Raw genomic sequence first — 20,516 nt, forward strand, 5'->3', positions numbered from 1 at the left:
ATATGTGCTTGAAAGTATGTATATAGATCTAGATATATAGTATATACATGTTACATCTATATATACACACACTTATATATAGAATGTATTTAGGTCGTGCTTATATTCCATTATTTTATAACAACTAAGTACCTTCATTCCTTTAATTACTAATATGTATTAGTACCCACTATGGGCCAGGACATAGTTGTTATATCACATAAGTGATTTGATCATCGATACATTATTTAAGCATGTCTTACAAAAATAGGCTCAGATCTATAATGCCTAGATGTATTTCTACTTGTATTTGTGTTACAATAACTTATCTGTTGGAACATATTGTATGAATGGACCATTACGTTGTTGCTTCTAACATCCTATTTCTTTTTTTGTGTGAATATTTCTGAGGGAACTATTAGAAACATATATAAATAGATGCTAAAGAATTACTAGAGTAATTCAACACACTCCTGCTTCAGCAACTCTATTTGAATCTTTTTATATTTGTTGTTTACAACAACTCTGGGTAAAATGTAAATTTTCCCACAGGTTCTTAAAATAGATGTGTTTTAAAAAATTCTCAGGAGGAACATAGGAGTTGAATAACAAGAAGTTTTCCTTTTATAAAGCCTCTTAGAATATTTTTTTCTTGGGGCAATTCAAACAGACTAAATAATTTTGACACAAATAAGAGGTGCTTAAATTGTAATTTTAAAAGAAGTCTTGAAATAGGTATGTCTCCTCTTGAGAAGAATTGATGTGCATGTAGTATGAAAACTCATTCCCAAAAGATAATTGGAGCATTTTTCTTTCATCTGTGAGGTGATTCTTAATAAGCAAAAAGTGTTCTAATTTTAAAAAGGAGGGAAATAAAAAGAAAAATAAAACCCAAGTTAACTCAAAAAGTTAATGGTGGAATGAACTAACAGCAAATGGGGCACTTCAGGAATGTTTTCTTCTTTTAAAATATATCTTCTTATAGCTTCTGAAATTAGTATTTATGTACTCTAAAAGCTATAACATAGCTTGTAAGTGATATCAGCAAGTTCTTAAACACATTACAAAACTTTAAACAATGCAACTTCCTTGGCTTAAGGAGAAAAAGAATAAAAACCGTATGTCTTAGTCCACCTGCGTTTCCATCAAAACTATCATACACTGAGTGGTTTAAACAACACAAATTTGTTTCTTCACAATTCTGGAGGCTAGAAGTCCAAGAACAAGGTGCCAGTTTGGTCAGGCTATAGCTTGTAGATGACTGCCTTCTCGCTGTATCCTTGTACAGCAGTGAGAGAAAGAGGAGACAGCAAGCTCTCTGGTGTCTTTTTTTTTGCACAAGTGCACCAATCCTATCATGAGGGCTCTGCTTTCATGACCTCATCTAAACCTAATTAGCTCTCAAGGCCCCATCTCCAGATAGCATCTCTTGTGTGGTTAAGATTACCTAACTGGAAATGTCCCTAATTTTGTCATTTCAAGAATGTTAAATAGGCCAGGCATGGTGGCTCATGCCTGTAATCCCAGCACTTTGGGAGGCCAAGGCAGGAGGGTCGCCTGAGCCCAGAGTTCTAGACCAGCCTGGGTGACATAGCTAGATCTCATCTCTCCTAAAAATACAAAAATTAGCTGGACATAGTGGCAAGGGCTTGTAGTCCAAGCTACTCCAGAGGCTGATGTGGGAGGATCACTTGAGCTGGAAAGGCAGAGGTTGCAGTGGGCCCTGAATGTGCCACTGCACTCTAGCCTGGGCAGCAAAGCAATACTCTGCCAAAAAAAAAAAAAAAACAGAACTCAAATTTAAAAAGAATGTTAAATAAAATTATACAGTACATAAGATTTGAGCATTGTCTTTTTTCATTTGGTATAATTTTCTCACAGTTTGTTCAGGTTATCACACGTCAATAATTCCATGTATTTACTACTAAGCAGTACGTCATGGTGTCTATGCATAATAGTTTATATAACAAGTAATCCATGGAAAGACATAGGTCATTTTCAACTTTTATTTGTTTTAAATAAAGCTTCTGTAAATATTAGTGTACAAGTATTTGTGTAAATGTATGTGTTCATCTCTCCGGGATACTCAGGAATGCAATTATGGGTCATATGGCAGTGGCAAGTTTAGTCATGTAAAAAACTACCATCCTGTTTTCCAGACTGGCTGTACCATTTTATATTTCTATCAGCAATATAGGAGTAATCTGCTTTCTCTGCATCCTGATCATTATTTGCTGCTGTCAACGTTTTAATTTAATTTTTATCACTCGTATGTGTATTTAGTGATATCTCATGGTTGATTTAATTTGTGTTTCCCTAATGGCTAACATTATTGAATACCTTTTTATGTACTTATTTTCCATTGATATGTCCTCTTCAGTAAAATTTCTGTCCATGTCTTCTGCCCATTTTCTAATTGGATTGTTTACTTTTTTACTGTTGAATTTCAGTCTGTTGTATAGTCTATATTTCAGTCCTTTATTTTATATGTGATTTGCAAATATTTTCTCCTGGTCCACAGCTTGTCTTTCCACCTTTTAAATAAGGTATTTTTTAGAGAAAAAAAGTTTTAATTTTGATGTATCCAATTTGTTAACTCTTTTTTTCTGTGTCATGTTTACTCTCATCAAGTATAAGAATTCCCTGCTCAGCTAGAGATCCTGAAGATAATATCCCTTGTGGTCTCTAAAAGCTTTGTAGTTTTACATTGTACATTTAAGTCTGTAATACCTTTGAGTTAATTTTTGTATGAGGTGTAAGGTTTAGATGTTTACATTGAGGTTCAGTTGTTGGTCTATGAATAACCAATTGCTCTAGCACCCTTTGTTGAAACGGTTATTCTTCCTTCATTTAATTACTTTTGACCTTTGTGAAAAAGCAGTAGAAGAAATCCAATACTTCTATATGAATCTACCAAAATACATATTGCATCTATTTGTAGAAAACAGCCAAACACTGATGAGAAATATCATAGGAGAATAAAATAAGTGAGGAAGATACTTGGTGTTTGTGAATTGAAAGAATCAATATTGTTTAAATGTCAGTTCTTCTCAATTTGCAGAATAGTTTCACCACAATCCCAATCCAGATTCCAGCAAGCTACTCTGTAGATGTTGACAATAATTCTAAAGTTTACATGAAAAAAAGAAAACAAATAAAATGTAGTACATATACACAATGGAGTACTATTTAGCCATAAAAAGAGTGAGATGTTGTCATTTTAAACAAAATGGATGGAACTAGAAGACATTATGTTAAGTGAAATAAGACAGGTACAGAAAGACAAACTGCACATTCTCACTCATTTGTGGGAGCTAAAAATTAAAACAATCGAACCCATTGAAATAAAGAGTAGAATGATGGTTACCAGAGGCTGGGAAGAGTAGTGAGGGATAGAGTGGAGATGGCTAATGTATACAAAAACATAGATAGAATGAGTAAGATCCAGTATTTGATAGCACAATAGGATGATTACAGTAAACAATACTTTACTGTACATTTTAAAATAAGAAAAACGTATAATTAGAATGTTTATAATGTAAAGAAATGAAGAATGTTTGAGGGGAAGATTACCCCATTTACCCTGATGTGATTATTACACATTATATGCCTGTGTCAAAACATCTCACATGCACCATGTCACGAGGACATAACTTGTACTTTCTCCAGGGTTTTATGGCACAGGAAATGACAACAACCAGCAACTCGAGTTAGATGCTTGAATCACATGATTTATTAATTACTATAACCAACTGCCATTTCTCAGCACAGGCAAAAACACAATCAAAGGGGGTTATTAAGGGCCAGCCTCACCACGGCAGTTAAAATCATTCAATCCAAGTTCCATTCAACATTCAAGTGTACCCTTGGAGGATCAAACAACCTCCAGTCTGTCCATCCTGGTCTTGTCAGATGTCAGAGTGAATGGGCAGAGGGCCTCCACACAGCTAGCTCTTGCCGCTAAGCATGCAGCAAGGGGCATAGAGATTGATCGGGGATTTGCCACAGACAACTGGTCGTGAAGTCCTTCTTTTCTGTGCTTCATCCTTAAGTGTAGTCCTGAGTCCTTCTTCCTGATTGGTTATGCCCGTGGTAATCCCTTGTTGTTTTGATCCATTTGTTTGCCAAAGTCCAAAATCAAAACATTTTGCAATGTCCATGACTGCTTACCTAACTTGTTTATCAAAATCCAAAGTCCCAGATACGTTTGGCAACATCTGTGTCAACATCTTTCTATTTTATCTTGTTTTACATGTCCTGACTATTTGATCAACACATGCTTACACTTTTATCTTTTTTTACCATGTCTTGACCTTTGCCAAAACATGTTCACAATGTTATTATACCTTATACTCCTAACACACCACAAATATATACGCCTACTACATACCCATAAAATCAAAATTTAAAAATAAATTTAAAAAATTCTCCCTCAAAAACAAAAGAACTGGAATAGCTAAAAAAAAAAGAAACAAAAAAAAAAGCTTGAGAAGAACAAAATTTAAGGACTCATACTATCCAATTTCAAGACTTACTATAAAGCTACAGAATTAGAAGCTGCAGAATATTAGTAGAAAAGTAGACACATAAATCAATGGAATAGAGATGTAATAGAGACCCCAGACATGAAGCTGAACAAATATAGTCAAGTAGTTTTTAACAAAGTCACAGAAGCAATTCAATGAAGGAAGGATACTTTTTTTCAATAAATGATGCTAAAGCAATTAGACTTCTGTGTGGAAAAAAAAAGAATCTCGCCTGATCTTATAAATTACACAAAAATTAACTTGAAATAGACTGTAGGCTTAAATTTAAAATCCAAAACTAGAAAATTCTAAGAAAAAAATAAACATAAGTAAAAATTGGTGTGATAATGAGTTTGGCAATTAGTTGCTGGATTCAACATCAAAAACAAAATTCATGAAAGAAAAAAATAACTGATAGTTTATCAATTTTAAAACTTATCTGGGAATGACATTGTGAAGAGTATCAATAGACGAGGCCCAATATCAGAGAATATATTTGGGAAACTCATAAGGACATGTATACAAAATAAAGAAGTCCTAAAACTTAACAATAACAAAACAAAGCACCCAAGAAAAAACTGGGCAAAAGCTCTGAACAGACACATCACTAGAGAAGAAACACAGGTAGAAATAATCACCATCGTATATCATTAAGACACTGCAAATTTAAATAAAATTAGATTTTACTACACACCTACTATAATGGTTAAAATCCAAAAAACTGACAATGCTGGTGAGGATGTAAAGCAATAGGAATACTGCTCATTTGTTGCCCTTGGGAATGCATAATTGTACAGCCACTTTGGAAGGCAGTTTGGCAGATTCTCACAAAGCTAAACATAGTCTCACTATAAAATGTAGCATTCATGCTCCTAGGTAATTACTCAACTGATTTAAAAACTTATCTCCAAACAAAACTTTGCTTGCAAATGTTTATAACATATAGTTTAGCCATAATTTCCACAAACCAGAAGTAACCTAGATGTTCTTTATAGGTGAATTCATAAACTATGGCATATCCATCCATGTGACAGAGGAGGCAGTTAGAGGCCAGTTATGTAGATAGAGAGGGAGGGTCTTGGGAGTGGAAAAACACTTTGGGACCACACCTGCATTGCCCATGTAGATAATGGGAAGAAATTTGATTAAGAACTTCCTCTTATGCCAGGATGTTTGCTCAGAAGGGACTGTCCCAACTTAGGTGCAGGTGAAATAAATCAACCTAAATATCTTTAACTGGACCCAGCTCATTATAATATCATTAACATGACATCAGCATGTGGCTTTAGCCCCCCTGTAGGTTTCACTTCTGCACTCATGGGTAATAACCAAGATGTAGACACTATGGCCAGCCCCAGGCATGCACAGATGCAACACCCCTAGGAGGGAACTTTACCTTTCCCATTTGGGAAGAACCCACAGAAGACTTCCTTGTTCTTGCTACATGAGAAAAAAAAAACAGAACTCAGGCCCATTTCCAGTGACCCACTTCAGGTCTCTGTCTTTGCTGAGAGCTTTCCTTTCGCTTAAGAAATCCTACTCTGCCTTACTCACTCCCCAGTGTCTACATGCCTCTTCTCAGTAATGGGACAGGAACTTAGACCTAGCTGAACTAAGAAAACTGTAATACATGAAATATTATTAAGTGCTTTAAAAATGAGTACTCAAGCCACCAAAAGACGTGGATGAATTTTAAATGCAAGATGCCTATCTAAACAGGCTGCATACTATATGATTTCAATTATATGGCATTATGAAAAAAGGCAAAACTATAGTTACTGTAAACATATTAGTGGTTGTCATGGGTTCAGATGGGGAAGGGCTGGATGAGTGAAGCAGAGGGTATTACTAAGGGTAGTGAACCTGGTGTTTGTGATGTTGTAATGGTGGATATATATCACTGTGCATTAGTCCAAACTCATAGAGCTTTATAGGATAATGAGTGAACTTTAATGTATACAGATGAATGCCAGATTACTTAGGAGGTCACGGGATCATAGGATGGAATGTAGAATATGATGAAAGACATTCATTGTACTACAAATGCTTGAAACAATCTACTGAGAATGATGGGGAATAAGATACTGGCCTGCATAATTTTGGAAATGAATAGAGTCTATAAGAATAAAGGCAAATAAATGAATCAATATAAATGAAACCAATCAGAGATCCAAAATGTTAAGTGTCTCAGGTCAGACACTTAAGAAAATTAGAAGTCATCACTCTCATCTTCACAAGAAAAAAGAGCTAAAAACTTTAATGTTTTCAACTTTTCTTAAATCCATCAAAGGCGAGCTGCTGTCCTTCAAATTAGAGACATAGGCAACTATAGAGAATCACAGCTTTTTGGAAAAGAAGCCCAGGAGCAGGAACCTATTGCTACAGCTAGCTCTGGGATAGGGAAACCTAAACAGTAATCATTGAATTGCTGGCAGCTCAATGTGCACAACTTTGAGACTTAAGAACTAGAGGGAGAGCCGCCTTGTAGGGGGACCCACATTTTCAGAAGTTTCACCCCCAGAAGTCCCAGCAAATTCTCAGGGCAAAGATCTGAGGAAATTCCCTGTCAGGGGAAGAAGAAAAGTAACCATTTAAAAATATAACCAGAGGATTCTGTTCTCTTTAACAAAAGCCCTCCCTCAAGTCACACTATTTTACCAGAACCTAACCACTGTGGGTTTTACAGGAGCCTGACATGGGGGAATGGGAATACTTAATTCCAGTTCCTTCCTGAGGGGAAAAGCACTAGCAAGAATTTGTGAAGATCACAGCCCTGGGTCACAGGCTCACTAAAAGCTTGCAATCTAATCATAGGACAATAGAAAACTTTCTCTCCCCCCATACCTTACCACCACATCAATAGGACTCCTGCATAATAATAGGCAATTACAATGGAGAGAACTGAAAACTTAAAGCATTATTTAAGAAGGAGGATCTAAAGAAACACAAAGAAAAGAAAAGAAACAAAAATAATGACAACAGAATAAATTTTAGCCTCTGAAACTTAAAGCTATAGAAAACAGTAAACACGCCTAAATCATCACACCAATTTTTACTTATGTTTATTTTTTTCTTAGAAGTTTCTACTTTTGGATTTTAAATTTACACCTACAATCCATTTCAAGTTAAGAATTATATAAGAAAAAAAAAGAGGTCAAATATTAATCACATGAGAAATAAAAGAGGAACCATCACTCCTGAATCTGTGGATATTAAAAGGGATATTATGAGCAACTTTATGCCTACAAATTTGATAATTTAGATGAAATGGACCAATTTTTTAAAAGAAACAATCTCACAATTTTCAGATTTCACAAAAGAAGAAATATATAAAATAAATATATCTGTACGTCTTAAATAAATTGATTCAATAACTTTTCAAATCAGAAAGTACTAGGCCCAGATGGACTCACCAGTATATTCCACAAAACATTTAAGGAGGAAATCAGGGCATTGCTTTACAATGTCTTCCAGATAATAGAAGCAGAAGGAATACTTCCTGACTCATTGTATTCGGTTAGCATAAACCTAATACTAAATGAGAGAAATATTACAATAAAGAAAACCATAGACCAATATCCATCATGAACCTAAATGTGAAAAACCTCAACAAAATATTACCAAATAAAATCTAACAACAATATATAAAAATATTTATATACCATGACTTAGTAGGATTCATTCCAAATAGGGAAAACTGAATCAACATTCAAAAATAAGTCAATGTAATCCATTACATCAACAAGCTAAAAAAGAAAAAAAATGTTTTATCATATCAATAAGTACAGAAAACATGTTCGATACAACCCAACATTCATTCATTATAAAAAAAACTCAGCAAACTAGGAATAGGGGGAACTTTATTAATGTAATAGAGACTGTCTCCAAAAGATAACTACAGCTAACATACTTAATGGTGAGAGGCTAGATGCTTTTCCAAGAGCAGGAACAAAACAAAGATGTTGCCTCTTACCATTTCTATCAACATCTTACCAGAAGTCTTAGTTAATGCAGCAAGCCAATAAAAGTAATTAAAATTGCATACAGATGGGAAAAGAAGAAATGAAAATATATTTTTTTGCAGATTACATAATTGTCTTTGTGGAAAATCACAAAGATTCAACAACAATGACAAACTCCTAGAACTAATAGGCAATTATAGTAAGTTTGTAGGCTATAAGGCTAATACATGTATACCTTGTTTTATTTCACTTTGCTTCATTATGATTCATGGATATTGTATTTGTTACAAATTAGAGATTAGTAGCAACCCTGCAGTGAGCAAGTCTATCATTGTCATTTTTCCAACAGCATGTGCTCACTTCATGTCTCTGTATCACATTTTAGAAATTCTCACAATATTTCAAACTTTTTCATTATTATTATATCTTTTAAGCTTATCTGCAATTAGTGATTTTTGATGCTATATTGTAGTTGTTTTGGGTCTCCATGAATCATCCTCATATAAGATGGAGAACTTAATAAAAAATGCTATGTGTGTTCCAAGTGGTTCACCAATGACTGGTCCCCCATCTCTGTCCCTTTCCTTGGGCTTCCCTGTTCCCTAAGCTATAGCAATATCAAAATTAGGTAAATTAACACTACAATGACCTCTACATATTCAAGTGACAGGAAGAATCACACATCTCTCACTTTATACTAAAAGCTAGAAATTATTAATCTTAGTGAGGAAGGCATGTCAAAAGCTGAGATAAGACTAAAGCTAGGCCTCTTGCATCAGTTAGCCAAGCTGTAAATGCAAAAGAAATGTTCTTCAATAAAATTAAAAGCACTGCTCCAGTGAACACATGAATGATAAGAAAGCAAAATAGCCTTAGTGCTGATGCGGAGCAAGTTGTAGTGGCCTGGATAAAGGATCAAACCAAGCACAACTTTTTTATAGGCCAAAGACTAATCTACAATAAGGCCCCTTCAGTTCTATGAAGGCTGAAAGGGGTAATAGATGCACAAAAGTTTGAAACTAATAAGGGTTGTTTCATAAGGTTTAAGAAAAGAAACCATCTCCATAAAATAAAAGTGCAATATGAAGCAGCAAGTGTTGATGTAGAAGCTTCAGCAAGTTATCTAGAAGATCGAGCTAAGATAGTTGATGAAGGGTGCTACACTAAACAACAGATTTTCAGTGTAGATGAAACAGTCTTATATTGAAAGAAGATTCCATCTAAGACTTTCACAGCTAGAGAGGAGAAGTCAATGACTGGCTTCAAACCTTCAAAGGACAGGCTGACTCAATTGTTAGGGGCTAATGCAGCTGGTGACATTAAGTTGAAGCCAATACACATTTATCATTTTAAAAAACCTAGGGTCCTTATCAGTGATGCTAAATCTACTCTGCCTGTGCTCCATAAATTAAATAACAAATTCTGGATGACAGCACATCTGTTTACACCATGATTTACTGAATATTTCTAGCCCAGTGTTGAGACCTACTACCCAGAGGAAAAGATTGCTTTTAAAATATTACTACTCATTGACAATAAACCTAGTCAGTGAAGGGGTTTGATGGAGATGTACAAGGCTCATAGTGTTTTCATGCCTGCCAACACAAAATCCATTGTGCAGTGCATGGATCACAGAGTAATTTTGACTTTCAAGCCTTATTATTTAAGAATATTTTATAAAGCTGTTTTTCCATAAATAGTAATTTCTCCATTGCATCTGGGCAAAGTAAATTGAAAACTTTCTAGAAACAATTTGCCATTCCAGATGCCGTTAAGAACATCCATGAATCATTAGAAGGGGTCAAAATATCAACATTAATATTAACAATTGTTTGAAATGAGTTGATTTCAAGCCTCATGGATGACTTTGAGGTGTTTATTACTTTGGTGGAAGAAATAATTGTAGATATAGTAGAAATAGCAAGAGAACTAGAAGTAGAAGTGGCAATTAGAAAATTGAATTGCTGAAATCTTATGAGAAAATTGGAATCAATGAGGAGTTGTTACTTATAGATGACAAGAAAAGGTGGTTTCTTGCAAAGGAATATATTCCTGGTGAAAATGCTGTGTGAATACGTTTGAAATCTCAACAAAGTGTTTAGAAAAATATATCAACTTAATTGATAAAGTAGCAGCAAGGTTTTGGAGTATTGATTTAAATTATCAAAGAAGTTCTACTGTTAATTAAATGCTATCAAACAACATCATATGTTAGAGAAGCCTTTCATGAAAGGAAGAGTCAACTGATATGGGAAACTTCAGTGTTGTCTGACTTTAAGAAATTGGCACAGCCACTGCAAACTTTAGCAGGCACAACTCTAATCAGTCAGCAGCCATCAACTTTGAGGCAAGACCCTCCACTAAAAAAAGAATACAATGCACTGAAGGCTCAAATGATTGTTACACATTTTTAGCAATAAAGTATATTTTAAATAAGGCCTGCACATTATTTTGAGATATAATAGTATTGCACACTTAAACCACAGTATAGTATAAATATAAGTTTTATACACACTGAAAAACAAACAATTTGTGACTTTCTTTATTGCATTTCCCTTTATTGCCTTGGTGAAGAACCAGAACTGCAATATCTCTGAGGTATGAGTACATACATAAGTCAATTGCTTTCCTATACACCAGCAATGAACAACTAGAATTTGAAATTAAATACACAAGAATTACAATAGCACCCTAAAATAAAATACTTAGTTTGGTATAGAAAAACAAATATGAAGAATATCTATGTGAAAAAAACAAAACTCTGACGAAAGAAATCTAAGATCTAAACAACTGGAGTTAAATTCCATATTCATGACTAGAAAGAGTCAATATGGTTAAGATTGTTCATACTTCTCAATTAGATGTATTGATTCAGTGAAAATCCAATGAAAATTTTAGCATGTTATTTAGTGGATACCTAAAATGTATTACAAAATTCATATGGAGGGGAAGAAAAACAAAGTTGGAAGACTTAGATACAGTAATTCAAAAATTACTATTAAACTATGTTAATCAAGACTGTGTTATTGTTAAAAGATATATGGAACAATAAAGGGCCCACACAATATACCTGTCACCTTTCTCAAAATTAACTTGATATACAACACAGACCTACATGTACAATTCAAAACAATAAAACTCCTAGAAGACAACATAAGAGAAAGTCTAAGTGATGTTGTGTTTCACAATGCCTTTTTAGATACAGCACCAAAAGCAAGATCTATGAAAAGAAAAATAAATTGGTAGGTTTTACTTAATATTAAAAGCTTGTGCTGTGCAAAAGACACTGTAAAGAGAATTTTTTAAAAGCTGCAGACTGGGATAAAATATTTGCAAAACACATATCTGAAAAATGCTTCACATCCAAAACACAGGAAGAAATCTTAAAACTCAACAAGAATTCTGATGAAAAAATGGGTAAAAGATTTTAGACAGATGGCTCACAAAAAAAGATATACAGATGATGTCTTAGTTTGTTTAGTCTTACTGTAAAGAAATACCTGAATCTGGGTGATTCATTTTTTTTTAAAAAAGGTTTATTTGGGTTATGATTCTGATTTTAGATTGAACATCTGCATCTGGTGAAGGCCTTAGGCTGCTTCCAATTATGGTTGAAGATGAAGGGAAGCCAGTGTGTGCAGGGATCACATGGCAAGAAAGAAACCAAGAGTGAGAGGGGAGAAGTGCTAGCCTCTTTTCAACAGCAAGCTCTGTTGGGAATTATTAAAGTGAGAACTCACTCACCCCTGAGGGAGGGAATTAATCTATTCATAAGAGATCCATCCCCAAGAACCAAACACCTACAGTTACACCCTGCCTCCCAACACCTCCACATTGGAGATTAAATTTCAACATGAGATTCATGAGGGACAAACAAACAATAGCAGACGGCAAATAAGCATATAAAAAGATGCTCAGCATCATATGTTATTGGGGGATTGAGAATTCAAACAACTGTGAGATACCACTGTACACCTGTTAGAATAGATAAAATTTGATACAGTGATGACGACAAATGCTGGTGGGAATATGGAGCAACAAGAACTCTCATTTCTGCTGGAACTGCAAAATGGTACAGCTACTTTGGAAGAGACTTTGGCCATTGTTATAACACTAAACATAGTTTTACCATACAAATCCAGCAATCACACTCCTTGGTATTTATCAAAATGAGTTTAAAACTCATATCCACACAAAAACCTGCACACATATGTTTATAGCAGCTTTATTCATAATTTCCAAAATTTGGAAACAGCCAGATGTCCTTCAGTGGATAAGTGGATGAACAAACCATGATACATTCATACAGTGGAATATTATTCAGCCATGAAAATAAAAGATCTATCAAGCAATGAAGACATGGAGGAACTTGAAATGCATATTGTTAATTAGAAGATGCCAGTCTAAAAAGGGTACATACTGTATTATTCAACTATTTGATAATCTGTAAAAAGCAGACTGTGGAGACAGAAAAAACTCTGTGGTTGTGGATTCAAGATGTTTAAAGCACAGAGGAAAGAAATAATAGGAGCACAAGGGATTTTTAGACAGTGAAATTATTCTGTATATTATTGTCATGGTACATTGATGTCATCAATTTGTCAAAACTCATAGAATGTTCAGCACCAAGAGTAAACGATAATGTAAACTATGGATTTTAGTTAATAATAATGTATTCAATGCTGGTTCATCAAGTATAACAGCTGTATTGTACTAATGCAAGTCATTAACAATGGAAGAAACTAAGTGTGGAGGGAGAGAGGGAATATGTAAACTCTGTTCTTTTAGTTTTCTGTAAACATAAAACTGCTCTAAAAGTCTGTTAATTTAAAACATTTTAAAAAGCATGCAACTATACACAAGTCCCATAATCTAGTTGATAAAGTTGCTTTCGCTGGTATATAAAATAATAATTCTGGAATTATGCATGTATACCGTAAATAAAAAATTAAGTGTGTTGATGGCAGATGGCAAAAAACAGATTTCTTATTCTTGGAATAGGAGGTTACAGAGACTCAAGGGGAAGATGCTAGAATAATTTATGTGGTAATGTATTGGAGCTGGCAACATCAGTATGAACTCATGTTTACCATAATATAGATAGATATTAAATTGATGCAAAAGTAACGGCAGTTTTTGCCATTAAGTTGCGGTTTTTGCCATTATAATGGCAAAAACTGCAATTACTTTCACACCTGCTTAATAGAGTGAGAGCGAGTGAGAGAGAGAATTACATATAGAAATATTTATAAGTACATGCATGTAAATCAATTATCACATACACCTGTATTTTCTTTTGCTCTAAACTAAGAGAGTCAAGAATCAAGGACACTCCAATAACAGTGTCCCTAGCACTCAGAATTTGGTTCCATTCTTCAAGAAAAGGGGCCAGAGCTCCTTGGAGAAATGACTAATTCTAGGACGAGGGCCTAGAACACCTTTTGTTTTCAAAAAGTAAGGAAGTGTTCAATAACCACACCCTGCCACACACACTATAATTTTGATTAGAAATTTTTAAAAAATTAACTTATATGCATGTTTTTTTAGAGAAATATTAAGGAGACATCAATAAAAGAATATGACATAGAATAAATAACTTACGCAGTGAAAAATTTCATGAGGGAAGTGGAATGGAAATAAAAGTTAATTTTTAAGTGTAAATTACTTTAATATTAAAAAGAGCTTACTCAACTATTTTAAATGAATGCTGAAAGCTGTATGATATTTAGATTCTACTCATCAGCTTTAAAAGCAAAAACAACTTAATGTTTAAGTTTACAAAAACTTGAAAAATTGCATTACTTGGAACTTCATAAACCTATAATGAAACAAATTTTATTTTAACTTAGTAAGTGTGAGGAGGTACACAATTTTCAAATGCGATTTAGAGAAAAATTAGAAAACCTGTTTGTGGCCACACTGCTCTAGAGAATTCCAAATAAAGTTTTTCCTAAATCCTTGTGGTGCCATAAACCTAACTTGGATTAATTTTTTGCAAGCAAATAATTTGGGCTCTGGTTTTATTCCAATCACTATTTCCCCCTCCTCTCAGAATAGTATTCCCCCTCCTTAGAAGAATATTACAAAACATTTCATATTTACAATGAATTCCCATGACCAACCCACCTGTAAGAGAGGAAGATGGTGTGAATGATGGGGTGGTAGCATGGGACAGATGATGTAGAGAAATAAAGCTCAGTTTATCCTGCCAAAACTCACTGTTTTGCTTATGTAGTATTTATAATATTGGGGTCATGGATAATCTAGTTTTACATTATATCTTTCTGATATCAAATGTGCTGCGGTAAAAAGAAGAGGCGTACACATGGCCAGGAGTAATTTGAGTTACCAGAGGAAGCATGGACCTGTAACTGACAGAGTGAGGATTGTGCTCCAGAAGTAAAACATAGTTTCAAAGCAACAGACAGGGATTCATAAGGGGTAAGTGTAAGAATGAACTCAAGACAGCAGCAGAATTGATCCATAAGTTATTTGAATGTTTCAGAATATTATTCCAGGCTAATTTATTGTGGGTTCAATGACTTTGCTGCTTAACTAGGTATAAAGGTATAAAGTAAGGCCATAGTAGTATGAAAAGAGTTAGCAGCAGGAAAAGAGGGCCGAGGAATGCAGGAAGCCTAAAAAGCTGAAATAACTACATGTATCAACAAGGCAAGGGCTCTGAGGTAAGAGGGCTTTGCGTGGCCTCAGAGAAGTTGAGGTGCCTTTAGAGTTTACACAGCCTATTTCTTTGGGTAAGCAGAACCAAGAAAAAATGAGATCAGCTATAACTATATTTCATTCTCTATATAATTAGAGAAAACTCATTGATGTCATAACTGAGGTTTAATGTTGAAAATTATCTTTTAAACATTTTTTCATATGACATAAAATATTTTCCAAAACATTATTTATGTTATCTACTTGATATATTTTATTTAGGTATCCTTTATTTAACTGTTTCTTTTATTTGGGTTGCACATATGGGTTATTTCCAAATTTTGAATATTATAAATAATGCTATGAAGAAATCATTCATTCATTTTTCTCTTTAATAAATATTTAAGTGCCTTCCTATGTACCAGGCATTATTATAGTCTCATGGGGTAAAATGATAGGTTTAAAAAAGAGCTTTTTTAACTTGATTAGAATGTTTAACTTAAATACATTATTTTCTAGAGTCTTTATTTGTATAGCATTTACACTTCCCAGAATTAAATGTGTTTCATGAATGTAGTCCATGAATTAAATAACCTCAGTCATTTATTAATAGCCTCAATTATTAAAAGTATTAGAATTTTGTTTGACAAGTATTTTCCAAACTAATTTTTTGGTTTATTGTTGTCTTTTACTTTTTTATTTTTAGATTTTCAAAAGCATTTTAAATATTTACATGGTCAAATACACTGACCATTTTACTTTGTGATTTATCACATTTCTATTACTCTTAAAAATTTTTTTAATCTAAGACCCATTAATCAGTATATATATTTTCTGTTTTATAAGTTATTGGTTACTTGACTTTTTTCAGTCTGATATTTATCTGATATTAAAATTTGAAGTAATGTATAAAATAAGGCTTTACTTAATTTTATATTTGTTTCAGCCAGTTTCCCTGACATTTTTTGCTAAATAATCTAGTGTTAACATTCTTATTTTCTTCCTTGACTCTCATCTATTTCATGAATTTATTTATTGATTTTCCCAACATCACTGTACTGCAAAGCATTTTTGTTGTTTTTAAAAGATTTTAATTTCTGGCAATTCTTTTTAACACACAGCAATTGTCACATTTTCTTTTTAGATATTATTTTTTATCACAATATTTACAAAGAGATGATTGCATTCAGTAGCATTCATAGAAATACCTTAGCAGATATTTTTCCAATTTTGCAAATATTATAATGAATAATAATGTTCAATCTTTACAAAAATTGTGAAGAAAAAACTACCTTCAGACACAGGAGGTGGGTTTCTAATTTTACGACATTTTTGTGAGGAATTTGGCAGCAGCCATCAAATTAAAACTGTGTTCATAAACCTACAGGAGGACTATACAAAAATTCTGTAAAATATTCAGAATATATATTTCAAGGAAAATTTAAGGATAATAACAGAATGTATAATTCCATGATGTAATAAGTATCTACCTATCTGTGTAAACATATATGTAAAAATAATCTGGGAGGATATACACTATTTGGTTAATAATGATTACCTGCTAGTGGGTGACAGTGGGAAGGAAGGGTCAGAAATTATTTGAAATAAAAAAGAAATAAAAATAAATACCTTTTTGTGGTAGGCAGAAAAACAGCTCTCCAAAGATGTCTACATGAAAATCCTGACTCTGCGAATGTATTACTTTACACAGCAAAAGGAATTTGGCAGCTGTGATTTAATCGAAGATCATGAGATGGAAAGATTATTATCTGTGTGCATCTAACATAATCACAAAGGTCCTTTTAATGTGAAAGAGGAAGACAGGAGAGTCAGAGGGTCAGAGAAGATGTGAATACAGAAGCAGAGGTCACAACGACGTGAGAAAGGCACATCTGGCTTTGAAGATAGAGGGGCGATGTGCCGAGGAATGCAGGAAGCCTAAAAAGCTGAAATAAGCAAGAAGTGGATTCTTTCCTGCTGCTGCCAGAAGGGACATACCCCTGCAGACACCTTGATTTTTGCCCCATAATACTCTTTTTAGATTTCTGACTCATAGAAATATAAGATAATAAATTTGCTTTGTTGTAAGCCACTAAGTTAGTGGTAAACGGTAAGTTTGTAAAGCAATAAGAAATGAACAGACATTTAAGAATATTATTTTAAGTCTATGCTTAGACTTTTCCCAAGAATATTTATGCAATGGGATTATATTCTAGTTTTATAACTGAGTTAATTTATATAGCAATATATCATAAATGTCTCTTCAAATTAATACATGCACATCTATGGTAATAACTATGAATTACTATGTAGTATATTTTATGTATATATTATAGTTATTAATCAATCTGAAATTGTGAGGCCTTTAGTTTTCTTCTTATATTTTTGCTAATATATAGAGTGTTTGGGAAAATATTTTTATATATGAAACTGTGTCAATCTATGGTTTTTTTACTTGTATTTTCAAATCTAATATTATTATTTAGTATAACATAAATTATTTTGATGGGAAACTCATATTTTCAATGTTTTAGGTATATAACTAGTTTGCCTTCCAAAAAAGGCAAATTAATTGCACCAATTATTAATTAGCCCCATCAGTTTATAAGATAGGTGGGAGAAGGGTCTGCCATTTTTAGTTATAATCTAAAACCCCCAAAAAACAGAACAGTAGTTTTTTTCTGAAAATCAGATTTCTCACAGAATGAAATAAATTAAAAACTCATACTTGTTATATTCCCTTAAAACAATAGAAGAATGATGTAGATGGAGTATATGTCCTTATCATGCAACTCAGATTATATACCTAAAAATATGCAACTCATAGTTATTTGAAAAATTAATATAGAAACCTAGATTGAAACCTTTAAAAAGTTGCCAAAAATCACCATTTAAAATTAGTTGATTTATTAAAATTTTGAACAGGAAGTTTATTCAATGTATTTAAGACAAAAATTAATGTTGGTAGATATTACATAAAACCTAGAAATCTATTTCCCCATATTAAAAACGAATAATGAAGTAAGAAAAGAGAGAGAGAAATGACGGGAAAAAATGAATACACAATAGATAGTTCAAATGATTAAATGGTAAGTGAAAAGGATTTAAAAAATAAAAAACAGTGAGGAAAAATATTATCTCCAATGGCTGTGTCTCATAGCTTATTAGTCTCTTATCAAATGCACTGTTTTAAAGAAAATTATTGCAGTAATGCTAATTTCTTTATATATTTTGGACATGAAAACCTGTATTAGGAGGCAACAAAATAATTTGCACAGTAGTATGAATACTGTATTTGATAAACAATAATTTTTTAAGATGGGTTTGTAGAGTACCACGGACTATATTTCAGATTTCAAAAGTAGAAGATATGAGCAATTTCTTCTAATAAATGTTTACAAAATGATCAGGTAAATAAATCACCTTTTACAAATCTATCAAATTAAAAAATTGAAATCTGGAGAAGTTAGGAGGCTTGCCAAATAGTTCAAAGAAAGTATTTTTATGAGACTCCAACACTATTGACTTTCAGCTTAACACTTGTTTATATCATGCACAATATCAAATATAGAGTATAAGAAGGGAATATAATACAGAAAGTAATATAATCATTTCAAAAAAAGTGAAGCTGAATTTTTAAAAAATATAATTCTCCTATAATTTTTTAGGTACTTGAAAATTATATTGGCCTATTTTATTTATTTTGTTAGATAGTGATGGTGCAAATACTGGTCTTTAGAAACAGAACAATGCTCCAAAATTACCCTATGCTGCATATTGCCAATAATATAACTGTAAGATATGTATTTAGTCTTAAACTATCTTATTTATCACCAAATACCTACAGCTAACAGCTGAAGGGAACGATACAATTCTGAATAAGCATGTATAAAGAATGCTTAGGGCTTAAGCACAAACTAAATAAAGTTTATCGCTTTTGTCTTCTTTTCTCATCGCTTTAAAGGATGCTTGTTGCAATTCTAAAACAGAATAGTGATGGAACCAAGGTCCCCATTTTCTTTCCGGCTGTCAGGTGAGGGCCACTCACAACTTCTTGAGGCTGCCACGTTCCTTGTTTCATGGTCTCCCTCCTTCCTCCACTTTTAAAGCTAAAGACGTGAGACTGGTCATATTGAAGGTCTTTGGCCCTCCGTTCTCCATCTGTTCTCACATCTCTGACCACAATCAGTAATAATTATCCACTTTAGGGCCTCATGTGATTATATTTGGTCCACTTGGATAATCCAGGATAATCTCCTCATCCCAACATTCTTAGCTTTATCACATCTGCAAAGTCCCTTTTGCCCTGAATTACAACATATTCACAAATTCCAGAGATAGGGTTGTGGGCATCTTTGGTGGGTGCAATTATTCTGCCCACCATACTATAAGATTGTTTAAGGTAGTGGAAATAAATCTTTCTTAAAAGTCCAGAAAGCATATAAAATGACTTACTGGTAATTACGCAGAGTTAAATATTTTAACTATCTGTTAAAATGATAAATGTTATGACTTAGAATAAAAACGTACTCCCATTATAACCTTTGTTATCAAAATACCTGCAATAGTAAGATCTTCCAGTTTAAAAAATAATAGTCATTTTTGATAAATGGGTATGACCGATGTGCAGAATTTTCTTTTTAAGTAAAGCTTTTATAGTTAACATATAATATAAATTTCAAGGTGAGGAGATGGGGCAAGATGGCAGAATAGAAGGCTCTACCGATTGTCCCCTCTACAAGGACACCAATTTAAAAACTATTTACACCATAAAAGCACCTTCATAAGAACCAGAATTCAGGTGAGCACCCACAGTACCTGGTTTTTAATTCATATAGCTGAAAGAGGCACTGAAGAGATGTAAAAAACTGTCTTGAATCGCAGATGCCACCCCACTCCCGTTTTCCAGCAATGGCGGCATGGTGCTGAGAGCATTTCCGTAACTTAGGGAGAGGAAGAACTCAGCAATTGTGAGAAATTTGAGAAATTGAACTCAGCGCTGCCGTGTTAAAGCAGAAAGAAAATGCTGACCAAACACTGCTGATGCTCCTCCATGGAGGGAGCATTTAAATCAGCCCTAGCCAGAGGGGAATTGTCAATCCCAGCAGTCAGACCTTAATTTCCTGCAAGCATCACCACCACAGGAGAAAGGCTCTGGGGTCTTAAATAAACTTGAAAGGCAGTTTAGGCCACAAGGACTGAAACTCCTAGGTGAATCCTAGTGCAGAAAGGGACCTAGAGCCAGAGGACTAGGAGTGCACAAGACTGACTGAGACACCAGCCTGGCTGGCTAAGGGAGTATTGGCCTCACCCCTACCCCAAACCCAGGCTTCACAGCTTGTGGCTCCAAAACAAACCCCTTTCTTCTGCTTGAGGAGAGGAAAGGAGA

General features: G+C 33.7%; 3 long non-coding RNA genes and 1 other non-coding gene across 5 annotated transcripts in view; 3 read left to right on the forward strand and 1 right to left on the reverse strand.

The window, feature by feature from the left end:
• LOC102724340 (uncharacterized) overlaps nucleotides 1–20,516 on the forward strand; it is a 246,221-nt gene that overhangs the window by 175,109 nt on the left and 50,596 nt on the right. The gene's annotated exons all lie outside the window — the stretch shown is intronic.
• Nucleotides 1–20,516, reverse strand: part of LOC105373776 (uncharacterized) — a 116,629-nt gene that overhangs the window by 86,619 nt on the left and 9,494 nt on the right. The window lies entirely within an intron of this gene.
• On the forward strand, nucleotides 13,597–13,666 carry MIR548AE1 (microRNA 548ae-1). The gene has a single exon (NR_039638.1). It is a non-coding gene; the product is annotated as a microRNA 548ae-1 (primary transcript).
• On the forward strand, nucleotides 14,780–19,069 carry LOC107985968 (uncharacterized). The gene is made up of 2 exons (XR_001739820.2): nucleotides 14,780–14,908; nucleotides 16,770–19,069. It is a non-coding gene; the product is annotated as an uncharacterized LOC107985968 (long non-coding RNA).

Source organism: Homo sapiens, chromosome 2, assembly GCF_000001405.40.
Source record: "Homo sapiens chromosome 2, GRCh38.p14 Primary Assembly".
In the NCBI taxonomy this organism is placed as follows: Eukaryota; Metazoa; Chordata; class Mammalia; order Primates; family Hominidae; genus Homo; species Homo sapiens.